The sequence below is a fragment of the Homo sapiens genome, chromosome 20 (genome assembly GCF_000001405.40).
Source record: "Homo sapiens chromosome 20, GRCh38.p14 Primary Assembly".
NCBI lineage: Eukaryota > Metazoa > Chordata > Mammalia > Primates > Hominidae > Homo > Homo sapiens.
The window spans coordinates 17,644,487-17,661,464 of NC_000020.11; the positions used below are offsets into that span (position 1 = coordinate 17,644,487).

A 16,978-nucleotide genomic window follows, 5' to 3' on the forward strand; every position below is an offset into this window, starting at 1 on the left:
CCCAGCCTTCCTGTCTTCCCCCTCAGCCTGCAGGTGCGTGTCTACTGCCAGCACTTTCCAGGAGACAGAGGTCACTTGTTTCAAAGACACCTCTGTAGTTACAGACTGGGCAGGGCAGCTGCTTCAGCCGGCGTCTAGCTGCTGGCTGCAAGGACATTTCCCCCTCCTGACTCAGAAAAGCGTCCTGCGCCGTCCGATGTGCTGGGCACCAGCCATGTGTGGCTACTGGGCACCTGCAACGTGGCTGGCCTGACTCGAGATGTGCTATGAGTGGAAAGTACACGTGGAATTTAGAAGATTTGGTATGAAAAAAAAAGAATGTGAAGTATCTGTAATAATTTTATATATGGATTGTATGTTGAAATAACATTTTGGATAAACTGGGTCAAACAAAATGTATCGTTAACATTCAGTCCATTTGTTTCTTGCTGGCCTTTTTAAATGTGGCTGAGGACATTTACATCACATCCATGGCTCACACGTGTGTGGCTCACATTCTGTTTCTCCTGGACTGGCTGGCCTATTCCTTTCCAGAACCAGGGACCCCCAAAGTGCCCCCTGCTGAATTCCTGGCAGCCCCTGGTCCTACAGAGGTTCCAGAGTGACCCAAGAGCTCTGGCCTCTCTTGAACTCTCTCCTTAAAGACCACCCTTCCAGGCCCCACGGCCCCTACTGCACTGCTGGGTGGGGAAACATCTGGATAAGGCAGCTGGAGGGCACGCGCTCTAGGACGCCGCTTCCTGCACAGGGGCAGCATGGCCACATGCTCACCCGCCGCAGGCTCAGTCCACAGAGTGCTCCCGAGAGTGTTCTCGGAGCGGCATTCTCATAAATCTTTATTAAAACTTTCTAACGTAATTCCATTCTATTAGATATTTTAACAGAAAAATAAAAACTTGCAACACGCGAAACAAACGCAAAGCTGCGTACAGCAAAATGTTAACGCTCTCCTCTGCCACCTCTCATGGCCCCCCAGAAACTTCCACAGCCTTTGCCACACTCATACAAACACTACCTTTTATACTGTTTTTAGAGAGCTATAACTTTACAAATCATTTTTCATTAAATCTTTTAGGTAAAAACTCTGCTGTCTCAATTGTCCCCAAATCAAGGGCAGCACAACTGAAAGAAAAAAGGAAAGCCCTCAGAAGCAGAGGCAGGATTTCTGGGCCTCCAGATGAGTTGCATTTAAATAACGTACTAACGGGAGCCTAAGGCGTGCCCAGCACATCACTTAGGGCTCCAGCAAATACTCGAAGATACCAGTAATCTTCCGAATTGTGAAATCTTAACGCACTAAACTAAGTCTCTCAGACTCAACACCTAGTCTGTGAAATCACAGACTTCAAAAGGCCCAGGGTGCAGTGAATGCTGGAAAAGCTCAGCTCCCTGAGGGCTTGCTCCTGCGGCTAACGCTTTGCCCATCTTGGTGGGTATGAAATACCAGGAAGGGACAGGCCAGGAGGCCTGGGGAGTGACCAGGGAGCAGGAGACCCAAGAGTAGAGACGCAGGCCAGTGTCTCACTTTGATGGATAATCCAGACCTCTGTCTGGCAGGGGACACAGCAACACCCCAGGGGCCAGGCCCTGCAGGAATGGGACAGGTACTGTGACAAATAACCACACAGGCCTGGGCTCAGGGGGGTGGCCTCTCCTGAGCTGGGTGGTCCTGGGCACGGCACTTCACCTCCAGGTGATAGCTGCAATGGGGGAATCTGAGCCAGAACCCTCAAAGCCACAGGCCTGCCCAAGAGCCTGGAAACGAGATTTTTAAGTGCTATCTTCTCATCTTTACTGCTGACAGCTAACTCAATAAAAAACAAATAAATGAATGAAACCACTGTACAGATGAACAAACACATCCGTGGGCCACGTCCAGTCTGCAGGTCACCTCTGTCCTTGGGCAGTGGGGCACCAAGGTCAGAGCAAGGCCTCTGGGACCAGGTGGCCTGGAGTCGAATCCCAGCTCAGCTCCTTCCCACCTTTGTCCTTGGACAAGTGGCTTAACCTTCCTTTGCTTCTGTTTCCTTGCCTACAAAACGGGGATGATCATTGTTCCCCTCACAGCGTGGCTGAAAAGAGTAAGTTGCAACGTGCTTGGAACCATGCCTGGCGCAGGGTAACGCACAGCAAAATAAATCAGCATGGCCGGCCTTCAAGCAGCTCACAGCAGCTCAGATAACGCACCTCACACCCCAAATTTCAAAATGACTCTCCCTTCTGCGACCACACTGGGAGGCTCAGGCACCTAAAATTAAACTCATCTGGCAAAGAGGCACTTAGTGTTCTCTCTCACTGTCAACTGTGGCGTCCTTGGATGAGGCTTTTCTCTCTGTATAATTTCCAGGATCCCCCATGGCCAGGGCTCAGGCATAGAAGGAGGATCTCAGCCCTAAGTGGCCTCATGAGACTCAGCGGCCAGCCCCCCACATCAGCTGCTGGAGCACCCCTGCACTGTGCACACCTGGCTCTCTCAGTCCACGGGGAGGGTATCAGAACCACTCCAGGAACTGCCGCCTGAGCCCTGGCAGCAGCTGGTGGTTAATAGGAGGGGATTATCGCCTTGGCCCTGGGATGGGCCCCACAAAAGGCTCCGGCTCAGCTCCAGCTGCTGCTACAGGTGCCCAGCAGCCCTGATCAGGGCAGGCAGGGCCAGGTGGTCTCTAGACACAAAGTATGTACCACCTGCATACCCAGCAGTTCGTAAATTGCTGGGCCTGGAAAGTTAAGTTATAGGTTGGGCTGTGGCCAACAGAGGCAGAGGACACAGGGCCATAAGGCAGAAGAGTGACACAAGGGGGACCTGGAGAACAATTGTGGCAGCAATGCCGAGAAAGGCTTTAAGGCATTGGGCCAAGCATAGCTGGGTAAGGACACGGTGAGGGGCTTTGGGCCCTAGCGTGTCAGACTTGCACCCGAGGTTGGACTAGGTCCAAGTCTTCATAGGCCCTGGGAATCTGGATTTTATTCTGTAGGCAACAAGCGATGCCTAGGAAGGAGCGTTTGAATTTGAGAAAAAGATTTCAGGATGCCCAGGGGGATGCGGCTGGAAGCAGGCAGACCAGCTGGCCTGGACCCTGGTCCTAAGAGCCTATCCCCGCTGGGTCCTAAGAGCCCAGGACCAGGATCTGGGCCCGAGTATTCAGGAAGCTGAGCTGGTGGGAGAGAGGCCCAGGTGTCAACCCAGGGACTCTGGCAATGGAACCTGAAACAGCATGGACTTGAGGGCTTGGGGAAGAACTCCAGTGGCAAAAACTCTCATTTCCTAAGAGATTGTCCAGATCAGTTCTGAGGGTGCCTCCCTCAGACACACACATGTAGTCTGAATAGCTGCTGCCTCCGGGCCTGCACGGGGTGACTCCAGACAGTGCAGACCAAGGCACCCAGCATGGCTGCCCAAGCCAGATCGCAATCTTGGCGTGCCTTCCACGCCCTGTAGTCCCCAGTCACCCGACCCAAACTCAGGTCTGCTGTAAGAAGGTGAAGACCCTGGGGCCCCAGGAAAGGGCTCCCACATGCCTCCTGGAAGCCCAGCACCACGCAAGCAGTCATCAGCCTCTGCAGACCAAGATTCAGAGGCTGAGGACAAGCTCCCCATTCCTGCTGACCCAAAGCCAAGGGCATCTCTGTCTCTCTCAACCTGAGGAGCCGGCTCCCTTCAGGGTCCCACCCCGAGGTGGGACGCAAGACGCTCTCTAGGGAGGAGCTCCGGCCAACATCACTGCTGGCCTCTAACTGCTCGTTCTTGGACTGTGGCCGTGAAGGCTCCTCCTGAGCCTGTGGGGGAAGTGAGCTTTATGAGACCCTGGAGGAAATGAAGATCTACCAAATGCTCCTGGAGGCAAACTGCGACTCCTGCTCTCACTCATTGCTCATCTGCCCACAGCTGAGGCAGGCCCTGGGCAGTGCACAAACAGTGGACTCCAGGCCCAGCTCAGGCCACAGAGCCCGGCCTTGCCCAAGCGCTGCTCAGCGCTCCTGACAGGAAGCAGGCCAAGGAGGCGCAGCTGCACTTGACCCCAAATGCCACGAACGGTCACATCCGCAGCTTTAAGGGCAATGGAGCTCAGTACAAATAATGTCAAGAACAACCCAATTCAGGGCCTTTCAATCAGTCCTTTTCCTTTAGTTGGAGAAAAACGTAATCGGCTACAAACTTGGGGACTGGTATATTTAATGGTATCTAATGGAATTTAAAATATCCTATAGATTGAAGAACTGTTTTCCTCTTTAAAGTTTTGTTTTTTCCTCCAAATTTCAACAAAACCAATTTTATACCTGGAGTTAAAAAAAACCCACATCACAATATTTTTAAAAGAACGACAATTCCTGGAGGACCTCTGGGCAAGGCCCTTCCCAAGGCACACAGGCTGGCCCAAGGAGAATACAGTTTAAACAGCAATTAGGACTCTACCTAATGCCTGCAGAAAACGGCAGGGGATTTTTAATCCCAGGCTGTCTGACCACAGCCGTCTGGGGGCAGTGACCGGAGTCCCAGCCTCAACACGTTTTCAAGTGGCTGAAAAGAGATTTCTGGAAGAGTGTCATCTAGCAGCTTCTCACACTGATACTTGGCTCGCTTCCCTAGGGGATGTTTTTGTTCTTCTTTAAAAAAAGAAGAAGAAAAGAAAAAGTTGGGTTTGAAGAACTTCCACAGAAAGTGAATAAAGGGTCATAAGCCCCAGAGAGTTTTCTTCAGAGCTTCAGACCCTGAGAAACTGAGTTAGGTTCAAAAGAAAAAGTATCTGACTTGATCTCCGTGTACACCTCTCTGTGCAACTGCCGGCGAGAAGGGCACAGGGGCACCTGCCGGGCAGGGCGGGGGCCTCGGGAGGGGCTGCCCACACCGGCCGCTCTGCCATCTGCTGGTCATGTGCATGACTTCTGGGAAGTCTGAGCTTTGCTTTCTGCTTCTGTCAAACAGGTAAAAATTCAAATCCACCTTAGAGAATTGCACGAGGGATAAAGGCATGGAAACCAGCCTCCTAAACTGCACATCTGAACAAACACCTGGCTGGGGAGAGCAGTGGCGTCAGACCTGCTGTGCTAAGCAGCGCTGGGTTTGGAGCAAAGCAGGCTACACATGGGGAGGACAGGCGTGGGTGGGTGGGTGGGTGAGGAGCTGGGAGCAAGGGGTGTTCCCATCACGAAGTCAAATTGTTTAAGGGCCCTGCTACCCTAGACACCTTGAATACCGTTTCCTGGGGGCTTGACAACTCTTCCCCATACCCCCTGACCTGTGACCCCAGCCCCATTAGATTGCAGAACACGACTTGGGATTTTAGGTTACATTTCCTATTGTAGGGGTAGAATGGGGGCTCAGCGAGACTGCACACGACACAGAGCTCACAGGCCCCCTCCCACCACGGCACTGCCAGGCTCCAGAATGTGGGAACTGCCTTTAACTTCCCACCTTACCTCAGTTCATGAATGCCTCCCAGATGCCTGTGTGCTAGGGCTGGGACACGCACTGGCCTCCTTCTGGAGGCCTCAGAAGAGCTGGCACTACCTTTCCTCATTCCAGACCCCAAAAGGAGCAACGTGTTCCTTGCTGCTCCTCAGAGGACACAGGGCTGCCTCAAAACACCCAGAAGGATGAGAGTTCCATCAGCTTTGGTATAATGAGGGCCTGTTTATTTGACTTAGAGACACATAATGGAGTTGTTTCTTCTCCATAAAAAAAAAAAAGTTATAGAAAAACTGGAAAATGCAGAAGGGTGAAAGGAAGATACTAACATTTACCCATAATCCTACCTCCCAAAGGTGGCCTCTTTTTCCCACATGGACTTATCTGACAACGTGGCAAGAATGGGCCTCTGAAATGCCTGTTTCTGAGTGTTTGCCACCTCATGGAGGTTGGGTGGGTTCTCCTGGGCCATGACACAATGGTCTCTCTGGCCACAGAGTAAAACTGGCTTGCATCAGCAGGCTGGGGAAAGAGGGCCCCGCAGAAAGCAGGCCCACAGCCAAGACAGAAGTGCCATGTCCCCAGGGTTACCCACCCCCGTCCATTAGGCAGAAAGGTCACAGGTCCTTGGGTGAGCTCCAGACTCCCCAAGAGTGCAACAAGTACCCTGCATCCCCGCATCCCCTGAGTGACGTGCTAGCAGAGGTAATGAGGAAACACCTGTTTCCAACCAGCAGCAACAATGAGTGAAGCAAGCTCCAGTTAAAAGTACACTGTTCTGGAGCTCATGCTAACTGTGGGGTCTTCAGAATGTACATATGTACTTCCTCAGTCTACGCCCACACTGTAGGATCCAGACTTGATTCCAGGTGCTGGGTGGGACAGCTCTCCTGCCAGTGTAACACCCAGATGGTGATTAGTACAAGATCAGGGCAGCCCAGGTGGGAGGCAAACCAGCATAATCCTGCAAACAAAGACTCAATCTGAGGATAAAAATAGATTTTTTTAAAAACCAACACCACTGCATACACACACGTCTTGTGTTAGAAACTTGACTTTCCTAATAGACACTGTGCATAGGTGCTCAGTTAACTATCGGAGAACAAACCAGCTAAAGCCTGGACACGTGCGTCAGCTGACAGTACCCGGAACACGGGGAAGCTTCCATTCTGGGGAATTTCCACTTCTCGAGGATCCCATCAATTTCCTCCTCTCCAAATATTTAGTAAAGAATTTGTGCCTTTCATTTCCAAAGAAAGAGGCTTTCTCCTTATCCCACGTCTGGGTTTATAATGCTCCCTGCTCCCCAAACTTCCTGAAGTTAGAATCATTCCCAGAGTAGCACAGCAGCACCGTGTGAGGAGTGCTGAGTCAGAAAACAAATCTTGTGGGCCTCTCATCGTAAATTGTGAAACGTTTCTGGAAAGCAATGCAGCACTGTCTTCCTAAATTAAAAACGTACCCACCTTTTGACTTGACAATTACTTATCTAGGACTTTATTTTGTAGAGACACACAACAGTGTATGTACATCATTGCAGCATTAATTTTAGCTGCAAAATAGCTGCACACTACTTAAATGTCATTTAAATAAATTACAATACAGTCATGCTAGGGAATATTATGCAGCTGAATGTGGCAGTTTCGCAGGTGCAATACGGAAAGATGTCACCAACACACTGTTAAGCAGACAGCAGTGTGCACTGCAGCTCCCGTTTGTGGGTGCCCATGTGAAGAGCACAATGAATTTACCCCCCCGCCCCTCCACCCCCGGGAAGCGGATGGTGATTGGGATGGAGCAAAAAGACTTTCTATTTTCACCTTCCATGCCTCCATACTGTGAATTTTGTTTGCTGGAAACACATATTTATGTAATAATAAATTGTAAAAGGCAAGGATTAGGAAGGCAGGTGTTCTCTGTCAAATACAGCCATGGACAAGTGGTAAAAACCCGCTGCAGGGCCCCCATCTGCTCTTGGAGGAAAATCAGAGCAGAAGTTCTGGAAGAGCTCCAGCCTGGGTCTGCAAAAGCATGTCCTGGGCCTACCACTCCTGCCAGGTCTCCCTCTGGGGCACCTGTCAGCAGGGGGCCCTGCTGGACCAGCCAGGTAACAGGTAGGGCTAGGAAGACTGAAGAAGCACTTCAAGTCTCTGGTGGAGCCCAGCTCCAGTACTGGTTTTGCTGCTAATCTGTCCTGTGCTATGGGCCAGCCACAGCCTCTGTGCAACACCAACACAGGTCTGCACAGACCGGCTAGTGATCCAAGAGGCCACCTCCTTTCAGAAGGTCCTGTTTAGAGCACTGCTGTGCAAAACTTTCTGCTCTGACTGAGATGATCTGTCTCTGCACTGTGTAAAGGGAGCCACTAGCCACATGTGACTAGTAGGCACTTGGAATGTGGCTAGTGTGACTGAGGAATGGAATCTTTAATTTTATTTACTTCTGACTGATTTAGGTGATAATTTAAATGCTCCCATGTGACCAGTGCCTCCCATATGGGACAGCACAGCCCTAGGCCCTACACCTCCCCTGCCCAAGTCAAGGCCTCCTGGACTCATGGGAGGAGTTCCCGTCCTGGCCTGCTCCACACCGGTGATCTAGAACCCACTGCCAAGCACCTCCCAGATCCCCGCAGCACAGCCCTCATGCCACCTCACCCCTCCCACCCAACACACTCACACCCACAGGTCCCTGTGTTTCTAGATGCCCAGGGCCAGTCAGCCCACCCGGAGTTCTGCCTACAGTTGCCTCAGGTTGGGCACACATGACCCCCAGAGAAGCTGGAGTGGGCAGGCCCCAGACTGACAGGAAGCTCAGCCCCAGCAGAGGGGCAACGAGGCACAAGGCAGCCAGTGGGGGCCGCCGCAGCCTTTCCAACAAAGGGAGGAACCCACGGTCTAACGTGTCTCATCCGGGCTTGCTCACCAGGCAACATGGTCACAGCCGCCAATGTTAAGTGGAAATCCAAATAATTCTGGAACATGAAAACTCCACATATAAGACGTAGCAAGGGTGAAACCAATTCCACAAGCCACTGGTGAAAACCCATGCTGTGGACTCACAGATTTCTGCCTCATACCCTCGGGCACCACAGCTCATGGCTAACTGAAAACCAAGAAAATCATCCGAGGGCACAGAGACAAGGTGGGAAATCACTGCAAGTGATGAAGTGTGCCCGGAGCAGAGAAGGGCCTTTGCAAGGCAAAACGGCCAAGCATCCAGAGAGCGCCACCGACAACTGACTGCAGTGGTGGGAATTCTGCCAGATGCAGCTACATGCCCACCGTGCCCAGCGCGCCCTCGGGCTCTCCCCTGTGTTCGTGTTATTTGTGTGTGGGAAAAGCAGACTAACTGTGAGGAGAGGTGCACACTTCACTGAGCCCACCCAGGGCCTCTGTCCTTTACAGTCAGAGCTGCAAAGCAGCTGGGAGCTATGCAGACAGACCTTCTTGCACACGCCACCTGGCAGTGGCTTAGGGGTTGGGCCCCCCACCCATGCTGTTAGTAAGAAGATGGTAGCCACAAATGAATCAAGAAATGTCCCTGGAGCCCGTCAGCTGCAAAGAGCAGAAAATACGTGTGCTAAAGAATAAGCAGACTGTGACGGAGTCCAGATGAGACCAATACATACAGATCACACGCCAAGAACAGCCTGGCCCTGGCCAGGCGCGGTGGCTCACGCCTATAACCCCAGCACTTTGGGAGGCCAAGGCGGGTGGATCACCTGAGGTCAGGAGTTCAAGACCAGCTGCCAACATGGTGAAACCCCATCTCTACTAAAAATACAAAAATCAGCTGGGCGTGGTGGTGGGTGCCTGTAATCCCAGCTACTTGGGAGGCTGAGGCAGGAGAATTGCTTAAACCCAAGAGGCAGAGGTTGCAGTGAGCCGAGATCGTGCCATTACATGCCAGCCTGGGTGACAGAGCGAGACTCCATCTCAAAAAAAAAAAAAAAAAAGAACAGCCTCCTGGTCCCAAGGTGGACAGAAAGAGCCACACATACATGCCTCACAACCCCCAGCCACCAAAGACCAATGTTGATGGGGACATTAATATCAGATACCCACCAGCACAGACTAGAGAAAAGCACACTGCACAGTTAAACAGTAATGCACAAACGCATTTTTGTCTGTTTTGGTTTGATAATGGCCATGCAGGGTCTGACCACTGCACTAAAGGACACAACAAAAGGACAGGGCTCTCCACCCCAATCGCTACCCGCTCAGACTGGTGTGGGCCGTCCACGTAACATAGACTCGACCTCCTCACATCCCAGGGCCGGCACCCTCCCTTCACAGTCTCCCTGTAGGAGAGCCTTTGTCATTCCAGGACTCAAATGTCCCCTACATCCTGAGTGTGACCCCATGATGGAACTGGTGGCAGCAGGTGCTGAGTGTGAAGCATCTTAAGCCAGAGTCCTAAATGCTTCTTCTTGTACAGATGCTGCTCCCCCAGTGAGAAGATCTCTACCTGGGACCACGCAACTCCAGACACATTAAGGACTTACGGGTTTTCTGTGGATAAACTTGGAGGCTTACCAATATGCACTACTGATTCTGTGGAAAAGAAGTAGACTGAATACATTGCTTGTTAACTGGGATTTCAAATACCTTGAATTTCGGGCCTTACCACTCAATCACGTGTGTGTTTGCTAGTGACTCCCTTCCATGTTCATAAATGCCTCCTTTCATCTGTCCTGAGCTTTTGCTGCTTGAGCATCATGGAATCAGGGAGGGTCTCTTCACTGTGGCTGGAGCTCTGGACCCATCACCAAGTCCACACTGCCCTATCAACAATCCTGGGTGACTCTATAGCCTGTGCCATTATATAAACCACCCTCAGCCCCTAAGGTCTGTCCACTGTGGCTCTCGGGTCCTTCTCTGCACTTCACCCCCGAACTACTGAGATGAACCCACAGGCAGAGGCCTGCGGTGCTGAGCTATGTCCAGAGACAGCAAGCAGGAGCAGGAGTTCCAGCAGCCCCTGCCTTCCAGGGATCTTTCTCAGTTGTTTTAACATCTGGAATTAAGGAAGTATCATTATTCCTTTATTTTTCACAATGGCAAAGAGAGTATTTAAGATAATATATCAAGACCCAATTTTATCTCTCTAAAATAATTTCTGAAGGGCATTATATCAGGAAGGTTTTAATAGGAAATTCTTTGCTTCATCAGTTCGTTGGAATTCCTGTCCCAGTAGCATTAATGAAGGCTTTCCAAAGGGCGTTCCCAGCTCCAGGGGGCGCTGTCACAAACACAAGATCTAGGGTCTTCAGCGTTGCTTTCTGACTTTTATTTTTTTCTTTCTTTTTAACATTTCTTATAGAAACCAGGTCTCACTATGTTGCCCAGGCTGGAACTCCTGGGCTCAAGTGATCTTCCCAGGGGCTGAGGATAACAGGAGTGGGCCACAACGCCCAGCTGCTTTTTGACTTTTGAAGAGAAAACTACTACTACATTGAAGAAAAAAATCAGAAAGGAATTGTACTGTATTTCCTACAGTTACGGTTTATCTTGTTATCACTCATTTAATGTCTCTGCCTTCCACTGTTCTTGAGGCATCTAAAGAATTTGGCACCCGACTTCTCCAATGAAAAGTCACATTGTGACCACGTGACCATGTCTTTGCAGGTTACTATGGGATCTTCACAGGCATCACTGTTAGTGGCTGCACTGTGTCTGGGTGAGCCGCATGCACCGAGGCCCTTGGGGTGGTCCGAGGGACACCCCAGCCACTCACCCACAGACCTGGCTGCCACAGTTTACACTGTTTCCTGAGGGGAGTCCAGGAGAAGAAGAAAAACTACTCATCCCTTTGAGGCTCTTGATACATTTCACAAAATTGCTTTTCAAAATGGTCACACAATTTACAATGCCAGCATTTAAAAATATACATTATATATTTATATTAACGGTTTTTAAATAAAGCTTATTTGCTTTAATGTGAGTTTTTGAAACTGCTAGTTAAATGATGATGTCTCCTGGATCCTGACTGGCCCCACATGTGGTACGTGGGACCCACAGCATCAGCAGCTCCCAGGAACTGCTTAGAAATGCAGAATCTCAGGCCCCACCTGGGAGCTGCTGAGTCACAAGATCCTGGGTGATTCATCTGCATAACAAAGTTTAAGAAGCACTTCAGGAGGGGACGTCTCCAGGATCCTCACGGTGTCTGGGGAGTGGCCCAAATCCACCGCAGATGGCCCTGAAGATGCCTTTGTACATCAACCATGGGAAAACAGGCCTGAGATTCCTCAGTGCTAATTCAAGAAACGAAAATAGAAAGTCCAAGAAAGAACTTTCCCCATGTTTTCTAGACTGCCGACACTGTGAAGAAGAAAGAAACCACCTTGCGGGCGGCATGTTGGTGGCACGTGTGGCCCTGTCTCTGCCTCTTCCTTGTGGTTGCACAGCCCTGCGTGGCTGTGTGTCAAGCTCCCCCATGTCAGCCTTGGTGACTTCTTCTCATGACAATGTCAGAGTGGCCATCTTCCACCATCTGGGCTAACCCATATTCATTTTTTTTCAAATTAAATCTATTTCATCCAAACCTTAAATTTTTATAGAGGCAAGTGCTTGGCGGGTCTAAGAAGACTTTTCCAAATTATGAATATATGAACACACTGCCCTAGATCATCTGCTGAACGTTTCCTTCCCTACTGCAATATGATGCTTCTCTCATTCAAGTTCTCAGTCAGTTTCAGAGCCTTCTATTCCCCTACTTGTAATTACAACAGTTGGGAGACGTTCACACATTGACAGGACTGGCCTTCTAAAATCCACTGTAAAAAAATCTGTTCAATTATTCTTACCTATTTTTCCCTCAGATGGGACTTTTGGAATAATCCGTCAAGTTAGGGGGAAAATCTCAAGAAAGTTTGGCTGGAATAATGGTAGACCACTAAATTAACTTGAAAATTACTATCCTTTCATCGATAATATTTCATCTTCTTCTCCTGGAATATGGGTTTTGTTTTCTTGGTTCCAACTTTATCACCCCACTCAAGCTGTTGTGTTACGTTCACAGAGGTCACACGTAGGTCTCATCCCTAACAAGGTTCTTTATTACCTGCAAATTAGAACAATTTTGTCTTCCTTTCCAATATTATCATCACACTTCTGTTTTGTATCTCGTTTCAAATGTCTAAAACCACACGAAATAACAATGACCATGGGATGCAGGAAGCTGTGGACATGCCTGATGTGGAAGAACCAAGTAAAAGCTGATTCTCAGCTCCATCCCCAGCTTTGAATCAAGTGGAACATCATGTTAAAGAAAGGGCAGTGCGTCGCCTGCCAGCCTCTGGAAGTAGGGCTGAGGCCAGAGCGTCTGGGTTTTCAAAGGGCTTTCAAGGCCACCTGATCTGGGCTGGGCAGCTGGTCGCTGGCTTCCCACAGGAGCCTACAGCCGCTCACAGGGGACAGGGCCTCTCACACGGAGCAGGGGGCTGCTGCCCCAGCAAATGGCCCATCAAAAACAGCAGAAGGAGGAAACCCCACGAAGGTAATAGCCTGACAGAGGCAAGATAGGGAAGCCCAGCTAAAGACACAGGGCCTGTGCAGCCCGACACAGGTACAAACATTTCACACCTCCTAAGATACCCTTCGTCAACACAAATGCAATTATTTTTCCAAATCAGCTAATGGCTATTTAAAAACAAGAAAAGAAAAGAAAGGAAAAAAGAAAAGAAAAGAAAGGAAAAAAGAAAAGGAAAGGAGAGGAGAGGAGAGGAAAGGAAAGGAGAGGAGAGAAAGAAAACATAAGTGAAACTGAATGAATGACAAACATGAAACAGGAACTCCCTGGACCAATTTCTACAGTAATATACACTAAACAGATAAAGGTAAACCAGTGCTTCATATGATCACATATATATCTATGTAATCCAGTGTTTATGTTAATGCTCTATAATGCTTTACCAAATGACTAGGGTGGCGCAGGGGAAGGAGAAGGCAGAAGAGGAAAGAATGCAACTGCTCCTTAAAAACACCTTCCTACCATCATTCACTCAACAAGCACAGATACCCGAGTCAGGCTGCACAAAAGCATCAGGTGAGGCAAGAACATCGAACAGGCTGACAGAACGCAGCCAGACAGTTAAGAAAGACTTGCCAACACGCAGAACTCTTCTACACTGTGTGGTGGACAGAATTATTGCTCCTAATTCCTCACCTCTCCTTGTGCTCCCATATGTTTAAGACATGCCAAGACACGGACCTGTTGCTCACTCCTCACCTCTCCTTTCTCACATCACCTTGCAGTCCCTTCTCCCTGGACACAGTGGACTCCCTGCCCCTTGACTCAGGCTCAGACACATCACTTGATCTGGTCAATGAAATGCTGACTTGAAATGCCCTTTTGTGCCTCTGTTGTAACTATGAAGGGCCTCTGCCCTGGAGGGCGCCAGAAGGACCACACATGGAACTGACCTGAGCTCAACCTGTAGCAAAGAGTCACCAACCCAGTTAAAACCAGATTGAGGCAGAGCCACCAACCGAGAAAGCTCACATCTGCCAACCTCCAGAAGCATGAGCAACAATAAATGACTGCTGTTGAAGGCCACTGAATTTTTTTTTGAATGTTTGTTACGCAGCCTTATTATGACAATAGCTGACTGATACAGGTGGCACTCCCCGAGAGAATCCATAAGTCATTTAAAGACAGCCTTTCCTTCTAAGTTCATAAAGAAATCAGTTACTTACCAGGCTCACCTTTTTTCTTTGAACCAGACTTCTTCTTGGCAGGAGCCTCTTGCTTTGGTGCCTCTGGGCTCTGGGCCACATCTGTATTTCTGCCCTGGACAGAAGCTGACTCTGTCTTTTTACCCTGATTGGCAGCTGCGTCTGCCTTTTTGCCTTGGTTGGGGGACCCTTCTGCCTTTTTGCCTTCACTGGGGGACCCTTCTGCTTTTTTCCCCTGGTTTGTAATACCCTCTACCTTTGTGCCCTGATTAGCAACCGAATCTGCCTTTTTGCCCTGGATGGGAGCTCCCTCTCCTTTTTTGCCTTGGTTGGGACTCCTTTCTGCCTTTTTGCCCTGAGCCCCTTCTGTCTTTTTACCCTGATTCTGGGCTCCCTCTCCTTTTTGGCCCTGGTTCTGGGCTCCCTCGGCCTTTTTGCCCTGGTTCTGAGCCCCCTCGGCCTTCTTGCCCTGGTTCTGGGCCCCCTCAGCCTTCTTGCCCTGGTTCTGGGCCCCTTCTACTTTTTTGCCCTGGTTCTGAGCACCCTCGGCCTTCTTGCCCTGGTTCTGGGCCCCCTCGGCCTTCTTGCCCTGGTTCTGGGCCCCCTCGGCCTTCTTGCCCTGGTTCTGGGCCCCCTCGGCCTTCTTGCCCTGGTTCTGGGCCCCCTCGGCCTTTTTGCCCTGATTCTGGGCCCCCTCGGCCTTTTTGCCCTGGTTCTGGGCACCCTCAGCCTTCTTGCCCTGGTTCTGGGCCCCTTCTACTTTTTTGCCCTGGTTCTGAGCCCCCTCGGCCTTTTTGCCCTGGTTCTGAGCCCCCTCAGCCTTCTTGCCCTGATTCTGGGCCCCCTCGGCCTTCTTGCCCTGATTCTGGGCCCCCTCGGCCTTCTTGCCCTGATTCTGGGCCCCCTCGGCCTTCTTGCCCTGATTCTGGGCCCCCTCGGCCTTCTTGCCCTGGTTCTGGGCCCCCTCTCCCTTTTTGCCCTGATTCTGGGCCCCCTCTGCCTTTTTGCCCTGGTTCTGGGCCCCTTCTACCTTTTTGGCCTGGTTCTGAGCCCCCTCGGCCTTTCTGCCCTGGGTTGGGGCCCCCTCCACCTTTTTCCCCTGGTTTGGGGTTGTATCTACCTTTTTACCCTGGTTCTGGGCCCCCTCCGCCTTTTTGCCTTGGTTTGGGGTTCCTTCTGCCTTTTTGCCTTGGTTTGGGGTTCCCTCTGCCTTTTTCCCTTGGTTTGGGGTTCCCTCTGTCTTTTTGCCCTGGTTTGGGGTTCCCTCTGCCTTTCTGCCCTGGTTTGGGGCTCCTTCAGCCTTTTTGCTTTGATTCTGAGTCCCCTCCGCCTTTTTGCCCTGAGTAGTGCCAGTGGCTGGTGTGTTGCCCTTGGCACCCACTGGGGGCACCACCACCATCGGCACCTCCTTGGGAGCAGTTTCCAAGATGGCAGCCTTCGAAGTGAGAACCTGGATGGAATTCACTACAGAGCTGACAGCTGGTTCCACTTTTGCCACTTTTTTCTCCTTCTTCTTTTTGTCCTTGGGGGAGGAGGCCAGCTTCTCCTGGGGCATGGCTGGAACTGTGGCGACAGGAGCAACGATAATGGGGGGCTGCACTGGGGTTGGAGCCACAGCCACAGCAGGAGCCCGCACTGGTTCTCGAAGGAGGACAGTCACATTGGGGGCTGGATCATGATCAGGTATCTTCCCATTAGGTTTCTCTTCCTTTTTCTTGGTCTTTCCTTTCTTCTCCACTGTTTTCTCCTTCTTTTTCTTCTCGACTTTCTGGTGGTGAGTTTTCGCCATCTCCTTGCGCTGGTTGGCTAGGGCTTCTTCATATGACGTTTCCTTCATGGAGAAAGTCGACACCAGGAAGATGCCAATGGCAGAAACAACCATGAATCCTCCAAAGACCACAACCCCCAAGGTTTGAGTGTCGTAAATATCCATCCTGGCTTGCTTTCCTTTCACCTGTCAAACATACATGGAGGTTACTATTTATAGAAATCAAGGCCTTCAACAGTTTCTATCCCCACCCTACCACCAAACTTCAGGTTTCACTAATTCTTTCTTCAGGCTAATAAATTCAGAGAAGAAACAAACCCAGGCACTCTCTGATGTCCCACATTCTCACCTGCTCCTCTTTAGGAGTGAGCGATTCGTACCCAAGGCATGAGCAGTCCCCATACAAAGCAACAGCAGAGTCAGAGCAGAGTGGAGGCCTATCTCTGGAGCACACACGCCCAGGAGCCTCAGCAGCCATGACCCTGATGCAAGATATTCCCCACCCAAGGTCAAAGATGCACAGGAGCACAAACACAGGCCAGGTGTGAGACCATGGGGAGTGGTGGAGACTGTAGTAAAAACACCCGCCCCCACCTAAAATTAGACAGTGACACTCTGTCATGGCCGATTGCCCTAGAAATGTGATTGCTGAGTTGGAAGATGTTTTGATTTTTCATGTTAGGCCAGACACTTTTAAAAAATTTTTCTCTCAACGTGAAATTGACTGATTTAAAAAATATGTGAACCGAACCAAACCAAACACATCTGCAGGCTTTCAGCCACAAGCATTTTAGCCAGCAGGCCCACAGTGTGCCATCTCCACTCTGTTGTTTCCCTCTTCCCCAGTGCCAATAAATGCTGCTACCCAGGATCAGAGATAAAAACTTCTGCATTACAATCCTGAAACGTGTTCAAAAATTCAGTGAGGGAAAATAGCCTTTTGCCAGCAATAGCTCCTGAGGAGTTATGGAGCCTGCAATTTGCATGTTGGGAAACAGGAAGAATCAGTCTTGGGAGGCCCAGAAGATGCCAGGTTTGGAATTTCACATCCAGAAGCTGCACAGAGGGTGAGGAGACAGTGTCAGCAGGCCCCTCTGTCAGACAACACTCCCCAAACCATAA

The 16,978-nt window shown here is 50.4% G+C and overlaps 1 protein-coding gene across 3 annotated transcripts in view, besides 6 other annotated features; it reads right to left on the reverse strand.

Annotated features, from left to right (window-relative positions):
• RRBP1 (ribosome binding protein 1) overlaps positions 1-16,978 on the reverse strand; it is a 68,564-nt gene that overhangs the window by 30,808 nt on the left and 20,778 nt on the right. For 2 of the 3 annotated variants that reach the window (NM_004587.3, NM_001042576.2), the window contains 2 exons: positions 15,494-16,042; positions 14,119-14,203 (listed from right to left, as the gene is read on the reverse strand). In NM_004587.3, the coding sequence (NP_004578.3) occupies positions 14,119-14,203; positions 15,494-16,021 (613 nt within the window). In that variant the 5' untranslated portion in view covers positions 16,022-16,042. Of the gene's footprint in view, positions 1-14,109; positions 16,043-16,978 lie in introns of all 3 variants that reach the window. The other variant, NM_001365613.2, reaches the window with a different exon arrangement.
• Positions 3,740-3,829: an enhancer, noted in NCBI's record as "active region_17565". NCBI's record gives its function as "activates an Ori minimal core promoter by ATAC-STARR-seq in GM12878 lymphoblastoid cells {active_cell/tissue: GM12878}" and the evidence as "EXISTENCE:reporter gene assay evidence [ECO:0000049][PMID:35858748]".
• Positions 3,894-4,597: an enhancer, noted in NCBI's record as "H3K27ac-H3K4me1 hESC enhancer chr20:17629025-17629728 (GRCh37/hg19 assembly coordinates)". NCBI's record gives its function as "activates a minimal SCP1, AML or CMV promoter by ChIP-STARR-seq in primed H9 embryonic stem cells {active_cell/tissue: H9 hESC(primed)}" and the evidence as "EXISTENCE:reporter gene assay evidence [ECO:0000049][PMID:30033119]".
• Positions 4,010-4,099: a silencer, noted in NCBI's record as "silent region_12692". NCBI's record gives its function as "represses an Ori minimal core promoter by ATAC-STARR-seq in GM12878 lymphoblastoid cells {active_cell/tissue: GM12878}" and the evidence as "EXISTENCE:reporter gene assay evidence [ECO:0000049][PMID:35858748]".
• Positions 4,749-4,878: a silencer, noted in NCBI's record as "silent region_12693". NCBI's record gives its function as "represses an Ori minimal core promoter by ATAC-STARR-seq in GM12878 lymphoblastoid cells {active_cell/tissue: GM12878}" and the evidence as "EXISTENCE:reporter gene assay evidence [ECO:0000049][PMID:35858748]".
• Positions 7,490-7,569: a silencer, noted in NCBI's record as "silent region_12694". NCBI's record gives its function as "represses an Ori minimal core promoter by ATAC-STARR-seq in GM12878 lymphoblastoid cells {active_cell/tissue: GM12878}" and the evidence as "EXISTENCE:reporter gene assay evidence [ECO:0000049][PMID:35858748]".
• Positions 11,358-11,652: an enhancer, noted in NCBI's record as "tiled region #8855; K562 Activating non-DNase unmatched - State 10:DNaseD". NCBI's record gives its function as "activates a minimal TATA promoter and a strong SV40 promoter by Sharpr-MPRA in K562 cells {active_cell/tissue: K562}" and the evidence as "EXISTENCE:reporter gene assay evidence [ECO:0000049][PMID:27701403]".